The 23774-nt window shown below is 36.2% G+C and overlaps 1 protein-coding gene across 11 annotated transcripts in view, besides 1 other annotated feature; it reads right to left on the bottom strand.

Moving 5' to 3' along the window:
* The window catches only part of TMEM260 (transmembrane protein 260), an 83641-nt gene extending 61203 nt beyond the window's left edge, over positions 1–22438 (bottom strand). For 7 of the 11 annotated variants that reach the window (XR_007064017.1, XR_007064018.1, XR_007064019.1 and 4 more), the window contains exons 1-3: positions 21889–22165; positions 16931–16962; positions 16051–16202 (exon numbers count right to left, since the gene is read on the bottom strand). Coding sequence is in view for 5 of the 11 variants with exons in the window: in XM_011536851.3 (XP_011535153.1) it covers positions 16051–16202; positions 16931–16962; positions 21889–22048 (344 nt within the window). In the remaining 6 variants the exon portion in view is untranslated. Of the gene's footprint in view, positions 1–8645; positions 8849–16050; positions 16203–16930; positions 16963–21888; positions 22166–22363 lie in introns of those variants that run through there. The other 4 variants (XM_047431493.1, XM_011536852.2, XM_047431494.1 and 1 more) reach the window with 3 other exon arrangements.
* Positions 21878–22097: a silencer, noted in NCBI's record as "silent region_5790". NCBI's record gives its function as "represses an Ori minimal core promoter by ATAC-STARR-seq in GM12878 lymphoblastoid cells {active_cell/tissue: GM12878}" and the evidence as "EXISTENCE:reporter gene assay evidence [ECO:0000049][PMID:35858748]".
* Positions 22439–23774: the final 1336 nt, after the last annotated feature.

Genomic DNA, 23774 nt, shown 5'->3' with positions numbered 1-23774 from the left:
CGAAATTAGCATCCTTGGAGAAATGGCTGATTCTAGAGCCAGGGTAGCTCTAGCACAAAATTAGTCTGAAACATCTTGTGCCAGAAAGTAAGTAAGTGCTCAAAGAATGATGGGGGCATGACAGAAGGACACAGGAGCCAGCTTAAAGAGGCTCCCACTGGGCAAATCTGGGATAATTTAAGCATCAAAAATAATTATAGTAACAGCTTGTAAATCACTTAATTCATAAGAAACCATGAATCCAGTGATATAAATAAATAGGTGAGAAGGACATCATTGGCCTTTCCATAGAAAGTCACTAATAATTGTAGAAGAAATGATGGAATTAGAAATTACCATTTGGCAGCCATCTTAATAATAATCAATGAATACCAAAACTAGTGGGTAAAAGTTTTGGAGTAACAGAATATGTATAGTCTCTCAAGGTACCTCCTATAAATAGATGAATTACCAAGGGAAAAATGGTAACTTTACGGTGGTGAAAACTGTCAGACACAATCTTAACCACAGGACCAAAATTAACAGCATTAGTAATAGGACAAACATCATATGCTTCCCAATCTATTCTAGTGAAAAGAATACAGCATCATTTCTATAACATTCCTGCAGAAATGTGTTACCTGAAGCTAAGCAGAATAAAATCCTGATATAAATGAATCCTCAGGAAGAAAACTCAACATTCACTAATCTATAATGATTAACACATATTCTTACACTCAGAAAGGCATCTTAAAGCATTTGAACTGTTGACATTAAATATTAGAATTATGAACTCCATTAACTGCCTTTTCAAATATTTCATAAGGTTTTAAAAATTGAAGAATGTAAAGTAAAATTTTTGACTTCGATGATAACATTTATCTGGTTACCTTAGATTGTTACACAAAGTTAGGTACATGAGTATTTTACTGAAGACTAATCCCATAGCAGCAAGGTCTATAATCTGAATTTTCTCTCTCCATCTCCCCACTAAGGTCAAGATGATGTTGCAATCCATGTACTGTTTCACCTGATTTTCCTTGGCATTACAGAAATAATTTGTGAAACCACTGAGTAAAATAGTAGAAGACAAGGTAACTGATTATGAAACCAGTAATGGAAATCAAATCTAAAATCTCAACCTTTTTAGCATCAGATGAACTTGCCTGGAAATCAAACTAAGTCTACAGGAATTTGCCTTGGTGTCCTAATGTACTGCACACAAAAGCGTAGTGGATCTTTCAATGTTTGTTTCCCAACAGCAGTGTATGAGAGTCTGATTTTTCCACATCCTAGTGAGCACGTACTATTTAGCTTTTTAATTCTAGCCATCCTAGTCAGTGTGAAGTGGCATCTCACTGAAGTTTGGATTTGCATTTTCCTAATGGCTAATGCTGCTGAGCATCTTTTTCTGTGTTTATTGGCCATTTGTGTATCTCCCTTAAAGAAATGTCTATTCAGACCCTTTGCTCATTTCTTAAATTGGATTATTTGCTTTTTTATTATTGAATTGTAGAGTTCTTTCCGACTTCATTTTACTATGTTTCTTTTCGGCTAACCACAGCTAGAGTCACCTGCTTGCAACCAAGAACCCTGACTGAAACACACTGTCTTCCCTCTTTATTATACTTCTCATTATTTTTTCAAGGAAAACTGTGTAAAAATTCTGAAAATAAAATGCTCCTGTTCTCCTAGTCTTGCGCAAAACAGAAGAGAGGACGTACGCCTCTAAGAGCAGAAAGTCATGTGTACGTCCATACATAGGATATACGGAATATGAAATGTTTTGGAGGGCCCAGTATTCATGTTTTCGTACAATAATCTATATGTGATAAGCCTGTATGAATTTCTTTGATTTCAATAGGATTTTTATAAGTCAAACTCTGAATGCTCCTTAAAATGCACATATTTCAACACACTGCCTTTAAAAGTTTATGACAGTTAATATGTGGGCTATTTACTGCTTATTTAAATGTTGACCAAATTGTCTACTGTATCTGACTAATCATCATCTCTTTTCATTTTGGAAGAAAAATTATTCAAATAATTTTTAAGACCCAAATGACTTTGGATTTTTGCAAAGAGGATGACAGACAGTTTAAACAATAGATTCTAACATTCTCTAAAAAACTTGAGATGCTTGAACTACCATTTTGTATGGGCTTATGTTGGATTTAGTCCAAGTAACACATACATGTTTAATTGATTCTGTTTCCAAAGATAGGTTCAGCTAAGTCTTCCAAATCAGGAGGTTGTTTGTTTTTGTTTTCCCTTCACACCTTATCCAGTTATGCAGCAACGAAAACATACTGAAGATCATGAAGATCATGAGCCAGTTTATCAGAGCTACATGTATAAGAAGACTCCTCTGCTAATACAAATTTTTTTTAAAGTTTACCTTATGCTAAGACTCAGAATCAATCAACAGTTACTTGCCATGTAACATATACAAACTAGTGGATGAAGAAGTTGAGATAACTTGAAACATCTGTTATGGAAAAATTCCACAGCTCAAGAAGGATACACACAAGGCTTTGTAGGTAGCAATTAATGCTCAGCTGAGTTTGAAGACTACAGAGACTGTGGAGATGGAGCAGGAGCGTCAGTACACATGGCTGTGGATAGGTCTGCAGTAGCCTGAACCAGGCTTTATTATAATAATAAAATAAAATATTATTTTATCCTGGAGAAGCTGGATGGAGCCATCCTTTGAGGCTTTACTAGGTCAGAGGGACAGGAGGGCAAAAGGACAGAAGGACAAGAGTGGGAGTTAAAGTAATGAATCATGGGGCCTAGACTGAATAGAAAAGGAAGTAAAGCCAGTAGGGAGCTAATGGAGGAGGTAAGAAGGATGAGCAAAGGGTTGTGGGTGCCAATTACACCGCAGACAGTGTGAGCCATTAATGAAATGAATGAAATGAAAGCTAAAGTCATACCAGGGAGTGAAAAGTGGGTTGGGGAAGGGAACATCAAATTGTTAGTGGATGGAACAGGCCAGTTAAGCAAGATTAGACTCTACTGTTGAAAGCAGCCAATGATGGAACAGAGTTTTAAAAAGCTTTTCTCAAAATCCTAAGATTTTCAATAAAACTAAGTATTTGTCCTGAAAGTCTGCCAGTAGTTGGTACATGTGCACTAGTAAGTCTGCAGGCTGAGTGCAATGTAGAAATACAGGTCTGTGGCCCAGTGCCATGGCTTCACATGCATGCTACTAAGGAGCCGTGACCCCATCAGGACACAGCAAGTTATGTCTGTGATTTGTGCTGACACATCAAAGGATGATGCTAGTAGTGATAAGGATGATGATTTTCTGAAGACTTTGAAAGTCTTCAGTTAATTCATTGATTCTGTAAGAAGATAGTCTCATTATATTGCTCAAGTCATATTTCCTATGCATTATCTGAGCATGCTTCATTTCACCTTAGTGAGACAAAGATAAATGACTACAAAGCAGGTTGGCATTAGGGATGATTTCATGAAGACACATTTCAGGGTGAGGGCTAGGCTCAGTATCAGCCTCACAAGTCCACATCTGCAGCATCTACCTCTCTTCTCATTGCAGCCTTCTAGTGAAATTGCTCTTGCTGAGGTCTCCAGTGGCAACAGGCTTTCTGGACCTCTCTGCTGTGTTGATCCCTGTTGATGACCACTCCCCTTGACACACTTTACCGAGTTGATGTCTGGGACCGCATATCCCCCTGGTTTTCCTTTTTTGGCTCTTGATCTTCCTTCTGTGTTTTTTTTCTGAATGTCTCCTCTTTTTCCATTAATTTCTTTAAAGCTGGTTATTTCCCCAGATTTCATTCTCAGACAATTGCTTTTCTCACTCTACACACTCTAGGTGGCTAGAGTCACTTTATCCACCATCTTGATTTCAACTGCTAACCACAAACTGAAAAAAACAGATCTGTTCCCAGCACTGCACTCTCCTGTACTGTTGGACTTAAATATCTCCAACCAACTATGGTACACCCCAATGCCAGTACAACTCTGGATGCCCCATAGAACCTCAATGTCAACATGTACAAAATTAATTTCTCATTCTCTTTTCTAAAAATGATTTCCTACTCCTGTATTCTCTATCTTAGTGACTTTCATTATCTACCTAGTTAATTAAGAGACCTGGTAGTGATCATCAAAGCTTCTTTTCCCTCTCTCTCTCTCTGTTGAAAATAACACATCCTGCCAATTTCATTTCATAATAATTTTTAAAGCTAATCTTCCCTCCATCCATACCACCACCATCCCATTTTAGCTATTATCATCACCTCAGACTCAAACCAATCCAACAACATGGTAAGCCATCTGCCCCCAGTCCTATGCCCGCCATTGCCAACAGAGTAAGAGATTCAAAACATCTGACCTCACATTTCTGACTCCAACCCTTTAATGACCTCTCCTTTAATGATAAAACATAATATAAGCCCCTCATCATGACATAAAAAACCTTTCATGATCTGGTCTTTTAACGTAACACATCAAACTTTATGTTTCATCAACACTAAATGACTTGCAAGTCCCTATACTTAAAAGCTGTTTCTCCACTTCGGGGTTTCTTTGCAAATGAGGTTCTCTATTACAGGTTGAGGATCCCTTATCTGAAATGCCTGGGACCAGAAGTGTTTCAAATTTTGGATTTTTTCAGATTTTGGAATATTTGAAGAACACATATCAGTTGAACATTTCTAATTAGAAAATCTGAAATCCAATATGCTCCAATGAGCACTTCCTTTGGGCATCATGTCAGTATTCAAAAAGTTTCAGATTTTGGAACATTCTAGATTTCGGATTTTTTGATTAGGGATGTTTAACCTGTATGTGGAACACTGTTTTGCCTTCACTTTGCTAACTCCCACGTAACTGTTTACAACTCAGTATAAGCATCGTCTTTTGCAAGTATTCCCTGAAATATTTTCTCTAAGACTAGGATACTTGCCCCTTCTCTAGGTTCTCATCCAATTAAACGCAATAAATAGGTATGAAATAGATCTTTCTATATTTATTAAAAAAAGACCCAGAGGAATATAAATTTTTAACTGTAACCTAATCAAAACACTATGAAGAAACCAGATTTTAAGAACTTAAAATCTTCTATATAATGTATTACAAAGTCAAAAAATTATTTTTGGACTATTGATAATATTGGATAACCTATCAGCATATTGGTGTGTGTGTGTATATATATATATTTTTTTTTTTAATTTTTTTTTTTTTTTGAGACAGAGACAGAGTTTTGTTCATTGCCCAGGCTGGAGTGCAATGGCACGATCTCGGCTCACCACAACCTCCGCCTCTCAGGTTCAGGCAATTCTCCTGCCTCAGCCTCCCAAGTGGCTGGGATTACAGGCATGCACCACCACGCCTGGCTAATTTTGTATTTTTAGTAGAGACGGGGTTTCTCCATGTTGAGGCTAGTCTTGAACTCCTGACCTCAGGTGATCCACCCGCCTCGGCTTCCCAAAGTGCTGGGATTACAGGCGTGAGCCACCATGCCCGGCCTGATATATTTTTTAATTAAAAATATATCTCTCTATATATATGTATATGTGTGTGTATGTATATATATATATATATATACACACACACACACACACACACACACTCTCACATATATATGTGTGTGTGTCCCTAGAAAAACTATTTGATTTTTTGAAAAACTAATTGTTTCCCATATATATATTATTTAAGACATACTTTATTTATAGTTTTTAATGCCCTCCAAGTAGAAATGGTTTCTAATGACCTCAATGTAGGTCCAAACATTTTCAAATAATGCTTGATAAAATTACTTACACCATTATTTGGAAAGAAATATTTTTTTAAACTGCAAAAAATTAAGACAAAAGATGTTTTGGTCTTGGGGTAAATTTTGTTTAAGAGCCATGTCCTTTATTATTGCTGTCTTTTACTACTATATAAATGGTGTCTTGGTAACAAATGCTATTAAGGGAAAAATTAAAGAATTCATTTTAAACTTGTTACATTGATTTTTTTTCTTAAATAAAATGATGTTTGTATGGATAGATCTTCCAGAAACTAAGGGATATTATTTTATCATTCTGTACCTTAATTCAAGTGTTTAAATATTCTTTTGGCAAGGGTATAGAAGTAATAATTTATTTTTAAAAACTTTTATTTTCATATTACTTTATTCCTTGTCTATAAAATAAATATTTCAAAGAGAATAATAAAATATAGACTGGGCATGGTGGCTCATCCCTGTAATCCCAGCACTTTGCAAGGCTGAGGCAGAGGATCGCTTGTGCTTGGGGGTTCATAACTAGCCTGGGCAACATAGTGAGATTTCATCTCTACTAAAAAATAAAAATAAATAAAAATTAGCTGGGCGTGGTGCACATGCCTGTAGTCCCAGGTCTGTGGGAGGCTGAAGCAGGAGGATGGCTTGAGCCCAGGAGGTTGAGGCTGCAGTGAGCTATGATAGCATCACTGTACTCTGGCCTGGGTGACAGAGTGATATCCTTGACTCCAAAAAAGAAAATAAAATAAAATATAGGTTCACAGTTACTCATATTGCCTTTCACACATTGATTTGTAAAGAAGGTTCCTTAATTTTCTCAAACTTTTGTGAAATTTCAAACAAAACACATCAAATTTCCCATTTTATATTTTATTGAGCCAAACAACAATGAACCCTCCATATCAATAAGACACTACATATTGGAGCTAGAAAAAAAAAGTTGAACGTGCAGAAGGCTTTTTTACCTGTGCAGAAATTCAAATGAGGTTGCGATGCTACAAAAATCATAACTACAAATATATCTGAAGGCATATCTAGTCTTACACTTGCTAAGAGAGATTACTGAGAAGCACTTTTATCATCTGTTTATTATGAGTTTAAAAGAAAGCAATTTTCCTATGAGTTTACAGAATTCCTAGAGCTTCCAATTAATCCACTATCCTTTTTGATCACTGGGGCCTTTATTATCTTATGATCCTGGCCAATTATCATCGCTATCAATGAAGGGAACCTGTGAGTGAGTGATCAGGCAAGTTAGTTGCAATCTCTTTTTGGGAATAACTCTAATCAGGAGACATACTCTATAAAAAATTTTTCCCCTGGAAAGACTACAACATATATTTAAAATTTTTTTGGCAGAGTTATATATGTAGAGCAAAATATTATTCATAAATCTTTTGCATACAATACTATTAAATGAATTGGTAGTCCAAATTTCTGATTTAAGTAATCTTTCTTTTAAAAATAAATGGAAGGAATGTCCAACCTGACATTATTTAAATAGGAGATTTAAATGAAATTGTTAATCTGAGCTCACAAAACAAGCTATCTTGTATAATCCATAAAGTCTAAAGTGCAGATGAACTGTAAATAAAACTACACCCAAAATAAGACAGACAAACCATTGTCATCTACCCGTAGAGTAAGTCTGATGATTTTTTCAAATAAAAATGACATAATCAAAAACATGATTGTATTTTCACTTGGCAATCCAGGAGACCTGTTTTCAATTTCCATTTTATTCTTTTGAACAAATATGCTTATTATTTTAAAAAAGCAACTAAGGAGTTAATAACATGCTAAAGTAGAATCTTAAAATCAGCCCATTAAAGTGAAAAGACATTTTGTTCCCACTGAAATTGATTATTACTTCAACCAAACTAAAAGCAAAAGAGAAATTCAAATGAGGTTGTGAATAAATGAGAACTCTTTTCACCAGAACTCACAGATATATCGCTAATAGTTTAAACTATTTTCTATTTTAACTTGAGAACACTTTATGATAAATTAGATATGAGAAAAAAATGTTTTCCATTCTCAATCTAATTCTTACAAAGCCTAAACAGAGCAAGGTCAAATGAGGTATTCCTTCAAATGAAATACATATTTTAATCATCTAATCTGACTTACAGAAAGATAAAAATCATATTAGGTCATATGAGGAAAAGATCACAATCTTCAACCACCACCACTATGATAATTTTAATAACACAGCCCTTGTATTATAAAAGACACTCACGGCCGGGCGCGGTGGCTCACGCCTGTAATACCAGCACTTTGGGAGGCCGAGGCGGGTGGATCATGAGGTCAGGAGATCGAGACCATCCTGGCTAACAAGGTGAAACCCCGTCTCTACTAAAAATACAAAAAATTAGCCGGGCGCGGTGGCGGGCGCCTGTAGTCCCAGCTACTCGGGAGGCTGAGGCAGGAGAATGGCGTGAACCCGGGAAGCGGAGCTTGCAGTGAGCCGAGATTCCGCCACTGCACTCCAGCCTGGGCGACAGACCGAGACTCAGTCTCAAAAAAAAAAAAAAAAAAAAAAAAAAAAGACACTCACCTGTCAATACCAATAATCAAAATCAAGTTTTGACACTGTTAGAGAGGTAAACTTAATTCTAAGATCTCATAATAACGGAGGAAAGCACTGATATAGATTATTCAAAATATCAAATCCAAAAGTCATTTAAGTACATTTTGTTTTATATAAATAATTTTATACTTTATATAAAAAATATACTTTACAGTATGTTTGAAGTAGATAAATCTTCCTGATTGCTTTTTACTTAGGTTAATAATAAAACCACGTAATTCACATTCCAGGAGAGCACAGTGTTTAGTCAACAAAAAAAGACACACCAAGAGTATGACAGATAGTATGGGAAGGGCAGTCAAGTGTTTAAAATCTCACCCAGATCATGCAAATGACAGAAATTCTCCACTGGAGTAAGGATGATGTGATGCTATTAAGCATCAAATGTGAGCAACAGAATTCTCTGCTTAAACCATAACTGTCTTCTTTTCTTGGTCCACAAAATTCATGAGACCCAGATAAGATTCCTAAGAAAGGTACTGATTGCATAGTAGTTTTCTCACTGATGGAATACTATTCATCTGTTGACACAATGGATAAATCACAAGGTTACAATTTACACCATTGACACAGGTTTGCTATTGATAAGGTATATTTTTCTTTCCACTACACAGTATTTGATTTTCATGTGTAGTCACATGTTTGTCTAACCCTTAATCAAAAGGCAAATAACAGAAACCTGAAATTCTTTCCGAACACACATTTGACATGCCTCATAAAATTCATGAATATATTTGTCTTCAGTGCTACTTGCATGCAAAGAACCCAACACGGAAGGTACACTGCCCTACGTCTATACTGAGTGTACTGAGAATTCCTACTTGAAGTGGAATTTGACTGGGCAGACCACAGTGCAGCATCTGAACGTTATTGTTTAATAAATTACTATTAGTGTCAATTCATAGTGACTACTAAAATAGTGCAGCTGACTACAGGGAAGAAGTATGATAAAGGAGGATAAAATAAACAGCAAATCTACCACCCTTATCCTTCCATGTTCTTATCTTTCTGGGTCCTAGTCATGAAAATGATATAAAAGTTCCCTTCAGGCTTATTCATATAATCAACACCATGTATTTCTCTCTCCAGTCTACCTGGAGAATGGTGAAACTAGGGAGCTAAGTTACTGAAAACCTAAGTTCTGCTAAGCCTCCTTCTTTTGGTGGCAGCTCACTCAACATTCTTTCAACAAACATGTTCTGGGTATCTAACACGTGCCAGGTACTCTGTGGGAAAATTATAATGAGGCCACTGAAAGAGCAGTAGATTATAAATCTTTTCATTGTCAAGTTTAGACCTAAGAACATAAATCAATAATTTAGGACATGATATAAAAGGTACATCTGTGAAGCCATCACCACTGAACCTAAAAAAATTTAAAATATTTCCATCTTTAATGAATTTGCAAATAAGTCCTTTCTTCCACATTTTAGAAAAATTTACTGTCATTCCAGATAAAAACTTACTAAGGTTAGTTCTACTTCATGAGGTTTGATCAAAAGGAGAACTGTTTTACCCAGAATTTTCAGCTATATAAATATTCACTACCAGTACTCTAAAAGGAAAGTATAAAGTATTATTCCTGATTCAAAACCACTACATAAAATTAGAGTAAAAAATTTAAAGCCTTCAAAAAGGAAAAAAGCACAACTAAAATGCAGGGAGTAAGGTTAGGAATAGCTCCCATAAATAAAATGTAATCACAAAATTTCCATTAGAATTAAGAGTTGTGCATTAGCTATTAAATGATAAAGCTATTTAAAGTTTAAAACAATTCATTTTATTATACTCCATCAACTTATTCCTGAATATGTGGAAGAAAACATTCAACTAGGCTTTATAGGAACAACCGCAATTTACTTCACGTTTTACTAAGTTTTCACAGTATGCCAGGTAACTTGCACAATGGTACAGCCTGGTTTAAAATAACTCCCCAATTACATATTTTAGTCGATTTTGTTTAAAATGTATAAAAACATATAAAACCTCAAGATTAGTTTGTTACTCAATCTTCAAAATGTATTTTGCATTCAGGAGCAAGACTGAAATTGGTTAAAAGGATATTCCATCAGAGTATTCTCAAAGGCACCGGCCAAGGCATATCATCACGCTAAGTCCTTTCTAACTGAAAACTTAGAAGATGCTACGTAATTCTTAGAATGTTAAGATACTAAAAGTATAGGAAGTCAAGGCAGAACATCCAAATAACTAAAGTCAACAGAATGAGGGTATTAAACTACTTTCATCAGCAATACTAACCAACTTAATAAACAATACAGATTTAATATTAAGTAGTCTTATGCAAAGTTATTTAGTGTATCTTAATATCTCAATTCATTAAGACTATTTTCTATTTTTATGGCTCTGAAAAGCACCAAATCTATATGAGTTATGATCTATAATTTTATTTGTAATTTAAAGAAATATGTGCATTTATTATCACAACCATAATAACTGATGACTAGTTCCAGTGGCAAAATCTCGGCAGGAAACAGATTTAGCAATTTAAATGTTTTTTAAGTTTTTGTAATTGAGGAAACTTTTCATAATCTGACATTTGTTAAAACCACTTATTAGAAATTATGCAGCACAGTAGCTGTGCAAATATGAGCTAGCTTCACAATTATAAAGTCAGCCTATGTAGCCCTTTCCTATTGTATATAGTGGCATAAACCCCACGGCGGCCTATCAGCTAACTGGCAGGCGGGGGCTGCTCTATTCAAAGTGAGAGATACAAGCTGCAGGGCAAAAACCTGGCAGCTCCCATCTGACCCCACAATCCCCTACTGGTGACAGCTCCAAGCTCCATGGCAAATTAGGCCTTCTCATATTACAATTGGAGAAGACAGATTCCATTAGCAGTATCTGAAATTGAGTGGAGAGCTGCACTGTTATCAGACTTGACTCATAAGCACTGCTATTAATCAGAGCTATGATAGCATTTATATATTTCAAGCTATCTGCTGCCGCTGTGATATTCTGCTACAAAGGGTTGATGGGACTTAGGAAAGTGAACAATAGAGCTTTCTGGGAAAAGCAGAGTAAATCAAGAAAGTCTATGACTTCCGCACATTCTGAAGGGATTGTGGTTTACATAAATTTTCTCCCAATTGGAGATTGAGCTCTTCCTCATCTTACACATGGGATTTAGTTGTCACTCAATGGTAACAGCTGTGAAAAGGTGAAGCGGCCCACCGCTCAGAATATTGCCTTAGCTTTTAAAGCAATTAACCCATGAACAGGAGGATACCTGGTGATATCAAAGGGATTAGGCCAGGCAGTGCATTATTAACATTTCCTTGAACTAATTCTAACTCTGACTAGCTGTCAGAAAAGACTCTACAGTCTTAAAAAAGAGTTTTTGCCCTGCTTTTTTTCCCTTCAAAATGAAGCGCTGCTATTTGAGCCTAATATGTCCCTCTACTTATAAGAAAATGCAAATGAACCAAGCTCTTAATATGCTTAAGCAGTCTAAGTCAATGCAATTTTAATACAAGTATGAGAGAAATATATGATCAATTAACCACGGATCAAGACAGATATTCTCCTGAATGGAAATTAACGCTCCAGTACTTTCCATTCTTCTTCAACTACAAAAACTTGGTAACTATTTGTTACTTATGCATAGTTACTTCTGAAATTAGGAAGAGCTTCACATTATTCTCTATGGCAATAATCTAAAATACTCTTTGAGCTGGAAAATCCAAATGTCCCTTAAGCAAGAGATTCCGCATTCTCTAAGGTATGGTATTTTAATTTTCTATTCTTTATTGAATGGAATCTTAGCTGAAGCTCTAAGAATAGCAGACACAGTGCTCAGAATCAAGTCTTCGCCTTCTAAAATTTAATCAAATTAATTTTTAGCAGCAACACGATGTTTAAAAATATATAAGTTATAAAATTACAAAATCCATGAGTTAAATACTGGCACAAAACAATCTGCCAGAAGATATTTAAGGATTACTGAAATTGATCGTACGTTCTTTGTAGTAAGCAAAGTTTCAATATACCTTTAATATTATTAATATTCCTATATTCTAGGTAATCTACTTGACGTTAAGAGAGCTGATGTCTTACTGCACAATATTAATGATGTTAGGAAGTATTTTTATGTGAGTTTCCTGAAACTACACCTTTTTGAAAAAATATTTGAAAAACTGCCTATTTAATAGTAACTTTGTATTACTTTCTTTAAAATAAGCACTGAATTTTGATTATAAAAAATAAGAGCTTTACTTTCAATTCACATGAGTCTTCAACAAATATTGTGGAATGAATTCTATAGTTCCATTTGGCCGGCAATAGTTTGAAAAGGATAGGCTGACTCTCAGGCCTGTTGAAAATACATCCCCTGCACTGTAACTACCAAAATAAATGACACGACATATACCCTCCTCTGATATCATAAGCAATGTAAATCTTCCCCGAGGTAAAGAATTTTTATACAATGCTATCAACATGCTCCCTTCTCTTTTAGTGATACCGGAACATATGAAGGATGAGAATATAGATGTTTAATGATAGTGACTTCAGTACTCCTTCTTTATTCAGTAAATAAGACCTAGTTTGACATTTCCTAGAAAATAATTTTGAAATTCAAGCATTAAATAATGTTAAATGGTGTTCATGTTAATGATTTATATTACCTATAACTTTAAAATTTTATATTAATAGGATTTGTGAATTTCAAATAGAATAGGGCATTTTAAATATTATGCTATTAAATCTAAAAATCATTTACTTTAATAGCCTTAAAAAAGAAAACCCCAGTTCCCAGAAACCACTAACTATATTACAGCCTTAGAAACACAGATGTACACATTAATAAAATGAATACTATTTCATATAAATGAAATGTACTAGATTAAACTCCCCTAACATAATGCATGCTTAAAAATACTCCTTAAGGGGACAATACATAAATACTTACAGAAACAACTGCCACAATCTTACTATTTTTAATTCAATAAACTACAGTGACACGGCTTTCAATGTGCTGTTTTACTCATATGCTTTCTACATTAGAGCAAAGCAAATATAAATGAGTTCTTGCCAACCATTAGGAAAGATTGACAAAAAAATGCAGTGTTAATGACATCTTACAGCTTTTAAAAGCAAGAGAAAGATGCAAGAAAAGCAAAAATTACATAGTAATTGGAAACAACGAATAAATTGGTCTTTCAATCTAAGTCATGTTTACTGAAAAAAATGGAGCTTTTTACATCAACACATTTAAACATAAATTTGCTTTTGAAATAAAATCTTTGTTTAAAAGGTACAGAAGGTCTTTATGTCCACCCCAAGAGCTAAATATAGTGAATGCTATGTGAACAATTACCTGAAAAAAACCTAAACCTGTTAAAAGAATTAATTTACTGCACACCAGTCAGCACTAATCCTACGTGTACAGTAATGGTCTCTTAAGTGATGGGGGAAAGAAAGAATAAAACTGTTTCCTGGATCAAAACCCTTCAATATTCAACAACAAAATGGAATGATGATTTGGTTTGTAAATGAATAAAGTAGTGAAACGTCTCCTAAACAAATTCTGATAAGGGAGTCAAGCTGCAAAGAAACACATTTATTGTACACTGGAACAGGAAAAAGCCATCACTGTAATGGTTGTACAAAAACTGTGTCCTGCTGTTGGGTTTATATTCACAGAAGAAAGGTTTTAAAGGTTAAGTTCAGGTCATACAACAAATGAAATTGTAACAAGCCAGCTGACATTGTATAATGTCTTCTTCCACTCAATCAATAGGCTACTGTTAGTCCTATTACCATAGAGATGGCTTCTCCTTTTTGAAGGGTGTCTATTGTTTGACAAAACAGATTTGCCACTTGAACTAGGTTATTCCCAAAGGACGTGTACCTTGTCAATTATTTGTATTCAAAATAATGAAGTATTTTCATATTAAAATTATGTAAGAGATAATATTGTTAGATCCCTTTTCTGAAAGAAAGCAACTTTTCCAAAGCACATACTATATTATTAAAACTACTCAAATACCTAATTTAGTCATATTAAGAGATTCAATTTAAAGCACATGTCAGCAAGTATAAAATATATCATTAGCCATGCATATTAAAAGAAAAGCGTTACAGGCTAGTGTGCTAATCTAAACCATTATAATTAATCATAATAATTAATAAAAGCTATTTTTAAAGAAAAGTACTGTCCAGAGCTATCCAGATTCTGTAAATTTTTAAGACTTTTATTTACGATTCTTACAGTAGTTCTCATATGGAATGGTATCAACAATTAATAATGTTGAAAAACATGGAAAAGTTTTAGAAAATGAATCCCTTTACTTGCACAAAGAGCTATTTATAGCTATATAACATTTAAATATATGTCTATGTTACATAAATGATCTAAAATACAGACTATCAAAATGAATATATTAGTCTTCTTTAAATGTTTTTGTTCTAAAGTATCTTGTGAAAATTAATAATATACTCATTCAATACAGAACAAGGAAGTTCCCATTCAACCTAGATATTTAAAAACAAAAAACACTTTTTCTCTCAGTGGAAATACTGACAGATTATTAATTACAAAAGACTCAGAAGGAACAATTCTAATAAAAATTATCCTAACCATTGAGAAAAAGAAAAATATTAATAGTACTAATGAATCTAAGCAGAAACATTATTTTAAATATTTCATAAAGACTAAAATAACAAATTTAATAATATAACAATTTGGGAAAAGATCAACAGTTACAATACTTGAATCTGAAAGTTTTTTCACATACAGATCAAAAGTAAACTTCAGAGTTATAATTATACTAACTCTTATCTTTCTATAAATAATTAAAAGAGAATTTAGAATTTGGCTAAAGGGCAGTATTATGACTTTGACACAAATAAAAATATTGGTCTCCAAAAAAGACATTTGAAATTGTACCTATTCAAATTATATTTACCTACAGAAATCATTTGTTTTATAGTAAGACATGCAAAAGTTTTTAGAAGAAGTGTTTTAATTTGGTTTTTCCTTTTGCAGAAAGTGTAATTTGTATTTTTCACTATAATCCTCTTAGGTATAGGATGCACTGAGTTAAGAATGAAGGAGACAGAACATCAAAGACAATGGGTTACCAGCATTCTAAACTAATGACCAATGTTTTAAAAGCAGGGTAGACTTCCAACCTAAGAAAGTCTTCTATCAATGAATTACTTGGGATCTAATTTGCCTACCTTTACTACAGCCATAACGGAGCAGAGTGAAACCTTACTAAAACCACATCCCAAATTGATTTCCTTAGTTAATATCCTTATTTCAGAAAGTATACAACATGTTCATATTTAGAATACAATATAATTAGGTATTAGCCCTGGACCTGATAGGCAGCTGCTCGTCAGCAATACTGTGAATAATTAAATGATATTTACCATTTACCAAAAGATGAACCTCATATTGTTGAATTAAACTGGCCCATCTGCATCTTCACAAAATGACAAACCTCATTAGTTCTGCCTAATCAGAGAACTGTGATAATGAACTGGTGACACCTTCACTCCACTGTAGGAAACAAAACCAACTGTGTAATCATTTGAGGGGTCAAATGCATATGAAAGTATTATAAATTAAGAAAGTGAAATCACATGTGTTAGGGAAACCAAGCAACAAAAGATTTTTTTAATGTATGTACTTGAGCCATAAGAAATCTACATCTCCAACTGCTCAAAATTAATTTTAACTAATCAACTACTTTACCTGAAAACGGTGAAAAAAAGTAATGATGCAGCTACTGCTCCAAATAAGCCACAGAGAAGATTGACGCGGTAGGCAATTGAACCAAAAGGAAACAGTGTAATTGCCAGTTTAGCCACCAGCGTGAACAAAGGATAGCCAGGAGGATGGGCAACCTACGGAAAAATTAGCAACAGTTAGAAGGTTTTCATCTAGGAAAGGAAGAGTCCCACAGGCCTTAATTGAAAAGTAGCCCTTTTCTCAAGCAGCTATAAAGATTAGGCACCAATGACTAAATGTTTGAATAGTGGTTTTCTATTGTAATCCTCTTGAGGCAATACAAATAAATATTTTCTTTAGTGGATTTGGCAGCGTCTATCACATGGTGCGTCACCCAGAGAAAGGGTGACATATTTCATTGTCAGTTCTTAAGCAGTTTGTTCTCTGGGTTCACAGTACATTAGGGTCATTTAAAAGGCTATTGAAAAAAAGCAGGTTCTGAAATATCGTATTGGTTAGAAAGTTGAAAGACCACACTGCTATCGGATTACCACCATGCTGACAGTCGTAAGGTCTTGCCTGAAGGGATCATGCACCATAATAAAGTTTATTAAATAATAAACTTATTAAAACTGTTAACCCGATTTATTTTATTCCCCACAGCTTATACAAAATTTGGGGTGATAATAAGGCAGCTACTGTATATATAGTAAAGGCTTTGCTTTATAATTTAGTTTAATTGGATTTAAAACTTAAAGTAAATTGTCACGTACTGTACTTATAAGTTACTAAAAACGGGGGTTTGAAAATAAATTAATCTACTTTACTCCATGCTTAATTAAACTTTCTTAATTCCTAAAACTGTTAATGAGAGCATTGATTAAACAATAAAACTAATACTTACTCCAAGCTCATGTGCGGCTGTGATCAGTTCCCCTGTGAAAAAATAATGTAAAACCAATAATTACTATTAGAGAATGACACTCCTCCAAAGTTTTCAAAATCCAAATGCTTGCATTGGGGTTTTGCATTAATTTGACTGGATAAAACTGTAAATCTGTAGAGATTTAACAGCATGAAATAGTCTAAGAATATTTTCTCCTTTAGGTCTTATTGAACAAACTATCTTTGATAGTCTTTAAGAAGTGGTCAGTGGAAATATAGGTACATTCTGGTCTTTAAAAAATGCTTATTTTCCCTCTTGAAAGTTGTATCCACTTGCAAATATACAAATACTGTTGGAGCATTAGTGTAATATGCTTTATTATCCCTCAAGAAATTAGCACGAAAGTCTATAAAGATACAACCTTATAGTAAGGTAAAATGCGCAGACATCTGAGGTTTGGACACTCCATAAAATGTCCCATACTACCCTAAAACTGGCATTTGGGTATCTTCTCCACATTAATTGCACTGGATATCTTTAAATGATTTCCAAGTGTTTATTAACTCCACGTTATTTCGGTAAGGTTCACTGTAAGACATTTTTTCAAACCATTAAATAATATTCTTTACATAGTCCTTTATAGTTCCTCACCATTAGTGACTATTTCTAAAATTATGATGCAGTAATTTGATGCCTATTTGTTAACCTTTTACGTATTCAGAGCACAGGGACTATTTCTGACTCATCCCTGTACATTGTAGTACCGTACAATGTAAGGAATCAATATTGATGAATGACTCATGAAAGTTACTAGTACCTATTAGGAAATGTACTACTGTCCACTTCCTATCCTTTCATAGATAGCAATACTCTGCATTTAATTTCTGTCCCAGCTACAATTTAGACCTTTACTCTCTCTGGCCTGGACTATGGCAACAGACTTGACCAATCCTACTTCAATTCATCTTCATACTGAAATCACTTATAATCAACACCTGCCTTCCCCCATGCCCCTAAACACATACACACACACACACACACACACACACACACACACACAAAAGGCTGGATTGCATCCCTAGTCTAAAATTTCTCAATGGCTGCTCTCTGCTTACTGAACGAAGTTCAGATTCCTCAGCATGACGTTCAAGCTTTCTATGGTTTCAAGGTCCCTTTTCTAGGCTTATATCCATGAAACCTATGTTCCCTCCAGTCAAATCTTATTACCCACTGTTTCTCTGGAGTGGTCCTCTTTTGCACCTCTTCTCACTCATTTTCTCACCCTGGAATATTTTCCCTAGCATTCTCCCCCTAAATCCTTCAAGGCCAAGTTCAATTGCCACCTTCTTGGTAACCTTTCCTTAGACACCTGCTTCCCCAGCCTCCCCATCAGAATTAATCACTTCTTCCTCCTCCATAGAACCTGCTTGAGTCTATTTAGCACTTTAGATGGCCTTATATTCTGGTTGGTTTTCATTTCTCTCTCCCACTAAGTTTAAAAACATTATCCTATCCATTTCACGATCGTGCCAGGATACCACCACCTCTCCCCTCTGGCCACACACAAAGCATCAATTCAAGCCATACACACAGAGGTTAACAAAAATACACATCACATTGTCATCCTTGCTACTAAGACACCCCAGTCTTAGGTGACTGCATCATGGAAGCCTTATAAGGGCACCTGAAGACAGATTAAGTCAATTACTTAAGGACATTTGTTAAGAGATATTCAAGAGCACCTGAGAAACCAGCACATTTTATATCCTAAATGCTTCTTTTTAAATAGTTTATGGTCTCACAATGTCTCAAACAACTGTTCCCTTTGTTAACTACTGTAAAGGATATGATTTTATAGTTTACTCCATAATGGATTAGCTCTTAAGTCTTTAGCTCCAAACTATTTTCGATTTTTTTGTTCCTGTAATCTTTTTGTAACGAAGCCACCATAAATTCAAAATTTCAAAGGTCACTATTCATTCTCCTCCATTTAAAATGTATTCAGAATTACATTTAACATTAAGAAAAATAGGCTGTTTTTCTCTAACTTCTTTTTACCATGGAAAAGTCAGTGTGCTGTTATTATTTGCCAGACTTCTGCTGCTATAAAGATAAATCTGGAATGTGACAAACTTTCATCAATTCTTATCAAATGTTAAACTAAAATCGAAATAGAAAAGATGTCCCCATTCAACGTCTCTAAATGTAACCTTGATAAAGATCTAAAGGGAAATACTACTCTTAAATTGATTGTGATAAAGAGGAAGGGAATAGTAAAAAAACCTCGAGCTTCCCGAGTCTTGGCTTTCTCCCAACCCTTTACATGAAAGGTTCCTCAGTTGTGTCTACCTGCATCAGAATTAACCTGCTTTTTAAAAATGAAGATTCCTTGCCCACACCTCCAAATTCCATAATCTACTAAGACCCACTTGCACTGGGGGCTCAAGTTTCCCAGGTAATTCTGAAGTACGTTCCTGTCTGAGAACCACGGCTTTGTTGTCTGCAATACAAACTAATGGCAAGCCCAGAGTTGTCAGCAGATGCTTAACCTTTACAAAAACCAGCTCCCTTTATATCATACTTCTCAATATTAATTAGACTAGACTGTCACACATCACATCTGTTAAAGACAGTATCTTTGAAATAAACTCACGTACAAACTAATTTAGTGAAGGCCAGATTCCTACCCCCTCCCCGAAAAGCACCACAAGCACCCTGCCCATAAATGAACTGTGTGTGTCAAGTGGTACAAAAAATAATTTTGGCAAGACGACACAATGTGATGAATCTATGGAGTAAAATGTAAGACTTATCAGGAAGAAGAATACATGCTTTATACTGGTTTTGAGATGTGTTCTGTTTATTGATGAAAATATAATTCATAAACATTCAAGAATAGTGCATTCAACATGTAAACACAATTATCAAATATACGATAAAGCAAATTTTCCATATTGGCATATACTTGGAAAACAGTTTATCATTCCCAAAAATGAACATAAAAATATTAGAAGCAACCACTATTTAACATCAAACCAAACAAAATTAAAGCACCTAAAGTTTGGTAACTCAAGGTGAATACACAACTTTATTCTTTTAGGAAAAAATAAAATACAGTATTAATAAAGGCAAGGCAATAATCATGATTTTAAATAAATTTTAAACATCACTACATATGTGATGGTGGATTTAGAAAAGAATTTCATGAAATGTTTTGACGAAAAGTAGAGGTTAAGGGGGCATATTCTGAAGTCAATATACTTTTCTTTTCCTGATTTCTCTACTTTGTGTGACTTTGGGCATAGCTTAGCCTTAGTTTTCCCATTTATAAAAGGAAAATAATAATTGCACCTACTTTTAAGGGTAGCTGGGAGGGTTAAAACAACAACCCATATAAAGCACTTGGAACAGTGCCTGGCACATAGTAAGTGCCCAACAAACGTCAGTTATTATAAATCTCACTCCCATCCTTCACACTCAACCAACCATAAGTAGCTGTCAATCTTTTTATTTTTTTACAAGTAACAGAACTACCTAACCTCTGAATAATGCTCTCCAGCACCAAAACTCACAACTATAAAGTTACTTCCATTATGAAATACCAATCTTGGTAACACTGTACAGAAACTCCCTACTACACGAATGAAACACTATCCCTACTTGTGCAACAGGACCTGAAAGAAGAAAGGTAACAATTTGAAGATGTAACATCAAAGATCTTCAACGTGGTAGGCAGCCCTAAATATGATCCCCACTAATCCCCAAGTCCTGATATTCTCACCTGTGTAATCCTTCCCCCTTGAATATGGGTTGGGTTTACTGACGAAGTTCCAGGAATAAAATGCAGAAGTGGTATATCACTTACAGTATTAGGTTACAAAATGACAGAGCTGTCAGACAGAGAGGTGTCCTTCATCTTTTTCTTGACAGAAGTCAGTTAACTTATGGAGACCCACATAGCAAAGAACTAGATTGCGTTTCTCCCCAAATTGAGCCTTGAGAAGACCGCAGCCCCATCGCACACCATGACAGCAACCTTTTTCTGAGTACGAGCATCTAGCTTAAACGGCACCCAGACTCCTGATTTACAAAAACGGGAGACGATAAACGTTTGCTGTTTAAGCTGCTCAATTTGGGGATCACTAGTCATGCAGCAAAAACTGCTTCTTCAGTCCATAGGTTCACCACCTGAAATTACAGCACTATTCTGACAAAATTACTGGCCATGATATGGCATTATTGAATCCAAAAACAAAACATGGATCTTGTTTCTTGCATCAAATACAAAACAATTAGTGTGATTTAAGGGCCAATGAGTCATGCTTTTCTTTTTCATAGAAACAGCCGCACCTGGCTTCCACCTTTTTAAGAGTTCTCCTGCAAATATTCTGCATGGCTAGTTCCTTCTCAATATTCAGGTTTCAACTAAAACACCACCTCTTCAGAGGTCTTTCCTGAATAGTCATTCGGAAGGACCCACTACTTACCCCCACTCTCAATCATATTTCCCTCCTACTGTCTCCATAACTTATCACCAGTGAATATGCTGTTTATTCATTAACTTGTGTATTGTCTAACCGCACTGGAACACTAGCAATTATCTGTTCGCCACTACTGTTCTTTTGTTTGAAACATAATAAGGACACCGTGAATAATATCTGTGGACTAAAAAAGACTGAAAGTAAATACTCAGGACCAGGATAAAAGATCTGGGGAAGTGGAGAGGTCGATAAGCCCCACCAGGCGAAACCAACAATACGCCCCATCTCGAAAACCTGAGAACTAAAGAAACCACAACGACAGGAATGGAAACAGAAGTGGGCTCTGGAACACACAATAGTGCGCTGTGCACAGGGGGGTGGATGGAGGCCCAGAGCTGACCAGACCGAATGCCAAGAGCAGGGGCCAGACGCAGACCCTGCCCGTTCTGGGACCAGGGGAGAGGGACAGAAGGGGCAACCCTGCGAGTACTTTACCGGAGTCTCCCCCCGGTACCGAAGGGGGCAGGGTGAAGGTGAACACTGCGGCCACGGCGGCGAACACCGCCACGCCGCCGCGGATGCCCCCGGAGCGCCGCAGCCCCACTCGGACTGCCCGCCCCTGGGCCTGGCCCCTGCCGTCGCCATGGGGACTCATGGGCCAGTGGCGACCGAGGGAGAAGGACACGGCCAGCCCAAGAACCCGGTGCGACACGGAGCTCCCCAGCCGAGAGACGAGCGCAGCTTGTGCGGCGGCCACGGCGGCTTCCGGGTCGAGCCTCCGCGGGTTGGACCGCACCTTTCTCCGCCTGAGCGCGGGGAGGAGAAAATGCCAGGCCTCCCTTGAGCCAGGCCCTGCGAGTTTTCCCGCAGTGCACCACGCATTGGCGTTCACCTACTTATAATGTGATTTAAGGTTCCTAATCACCAGGAGAGCATTCCCTTTAAAAAGCAAGCCCGGCCACAGGCCTACCTTCTCCATGGCTATTCCCCCCTTTTATACTGACTTGGTTGGGTCTGACAGAGACCAAAGCAGCGTCGAAAACCGCGAGCGAGGAAGGGCTGCTCCTGCCCCCTACGGTGCGGGGTGGAACTGCACAAAAGGGCCACGATCAGCCAGGAGCCCCTACCTGTGCTAAAAAAAAAAAAAGGGTGGTGTATTTACCGTATGTGCAAAGTAAGCCAATAAATACATTAATCACAATTATGTATTTATTACGATTTACTACGTTACTATGACTAATTACAATAAGTCTGTGTGCTACTTATTAAATCACTGAGTAATTTTTAGAGAGATTAGAATATGCTAGTGCGTCTTTTTTTTTTTTTTTCATTCCATAGCATAATGAAAACTCTGTAGATGAGTCGGGAAATTTGAGTTCCTGTATTCATGCAGATAACTCAAACCATGATAAAGGTGTCTCCTAGTTTAATGAAGAGGAGTGTTTTGCTGGAGCTTTCAACACAGCAAAGTGGAAAATGAAATTGAATCACCATATTTTACAATGAGCTGTAACGCAAAAAAAAAGAATCGGAGCCGTTAATAAGGACAACTACATAACAGCGCAGTTAAGCTTTTTAAGCTTATGTTTTATTATTAAAGCAATTATCCTGGAGTGGGCGGGGAGGAGAGCAACCCGCATAAAATGTATCTCAAAGACACACTGAAAACCAGTGACAATCTCAAACGTGTTACGCGCAATTTGATAGAGACACAGTGACTAAACTATAGAGTAACATATACCTACCTTGACGGTCATGGGGCCAGCACACCTTAGTCTTTTCCAGGTACTTATACAATTTCCAGCCTTTTCCAGGTAATTTCTCAGCTGTACTGTGAGTTCCTGGAGGAGAGGGGCTGTGTGGTAGAGTGCTTCTAAAATGGATTCCCAGATAACCCTGCCTCCTCACTCACTTCCTGTATAAGCTGCTCGCCTTATGTGTGAGCTTAACCTAAGGATTGGCTTCTATCAATACAATAAGGCAAAAGTGATGGATGTCACTTTCAAGATTAGGTTATGAAAGACTAACTTTCATCTTGCTGGCACTCCCTCTTGTCCTCTCACTTGTTCTCTCTGATGAAGCCACCTACCATGGTGTAGGCTGCCCTGTGGAAAGGTCCACATGGGAAGAAACTGAGAGCCGCCTCTAGCCAACAGCTGGCAAGAAACTGAGACCTTCAGTCCAACAACCTTAGAGGAACTGAATCTAGGCAACACCATGTGAGGGAGCTAGGAAGTGGATCCTTCCCCCACATAAGCCTTGAGATAACTATAACTCCTGTCAAGACTTGGATTGCAGCCTGTGGATGACCCTGAAGCAGAGGACCTAACTAAGCCTCATCCAGACTGCTGTCCTATAGAAACCGCGAGATAATAAATGTT

The sequence above is a fragment of the Homo sapiens genome, chromosome 14 (assembly GCF_000001405.40).
Source record: "Homo sapiens chromosome 14, GRCh38.p14 Primary Assembly".
NCBI classification, from domain to species: Eukaryota; Metazoa; Chordata; class Mammalia; order Primates; family Hominidae; genus Homo; species Homo sapiens.
This window is presented reverse-complemented; position numbering and strand designations above follow the sequence as displayed.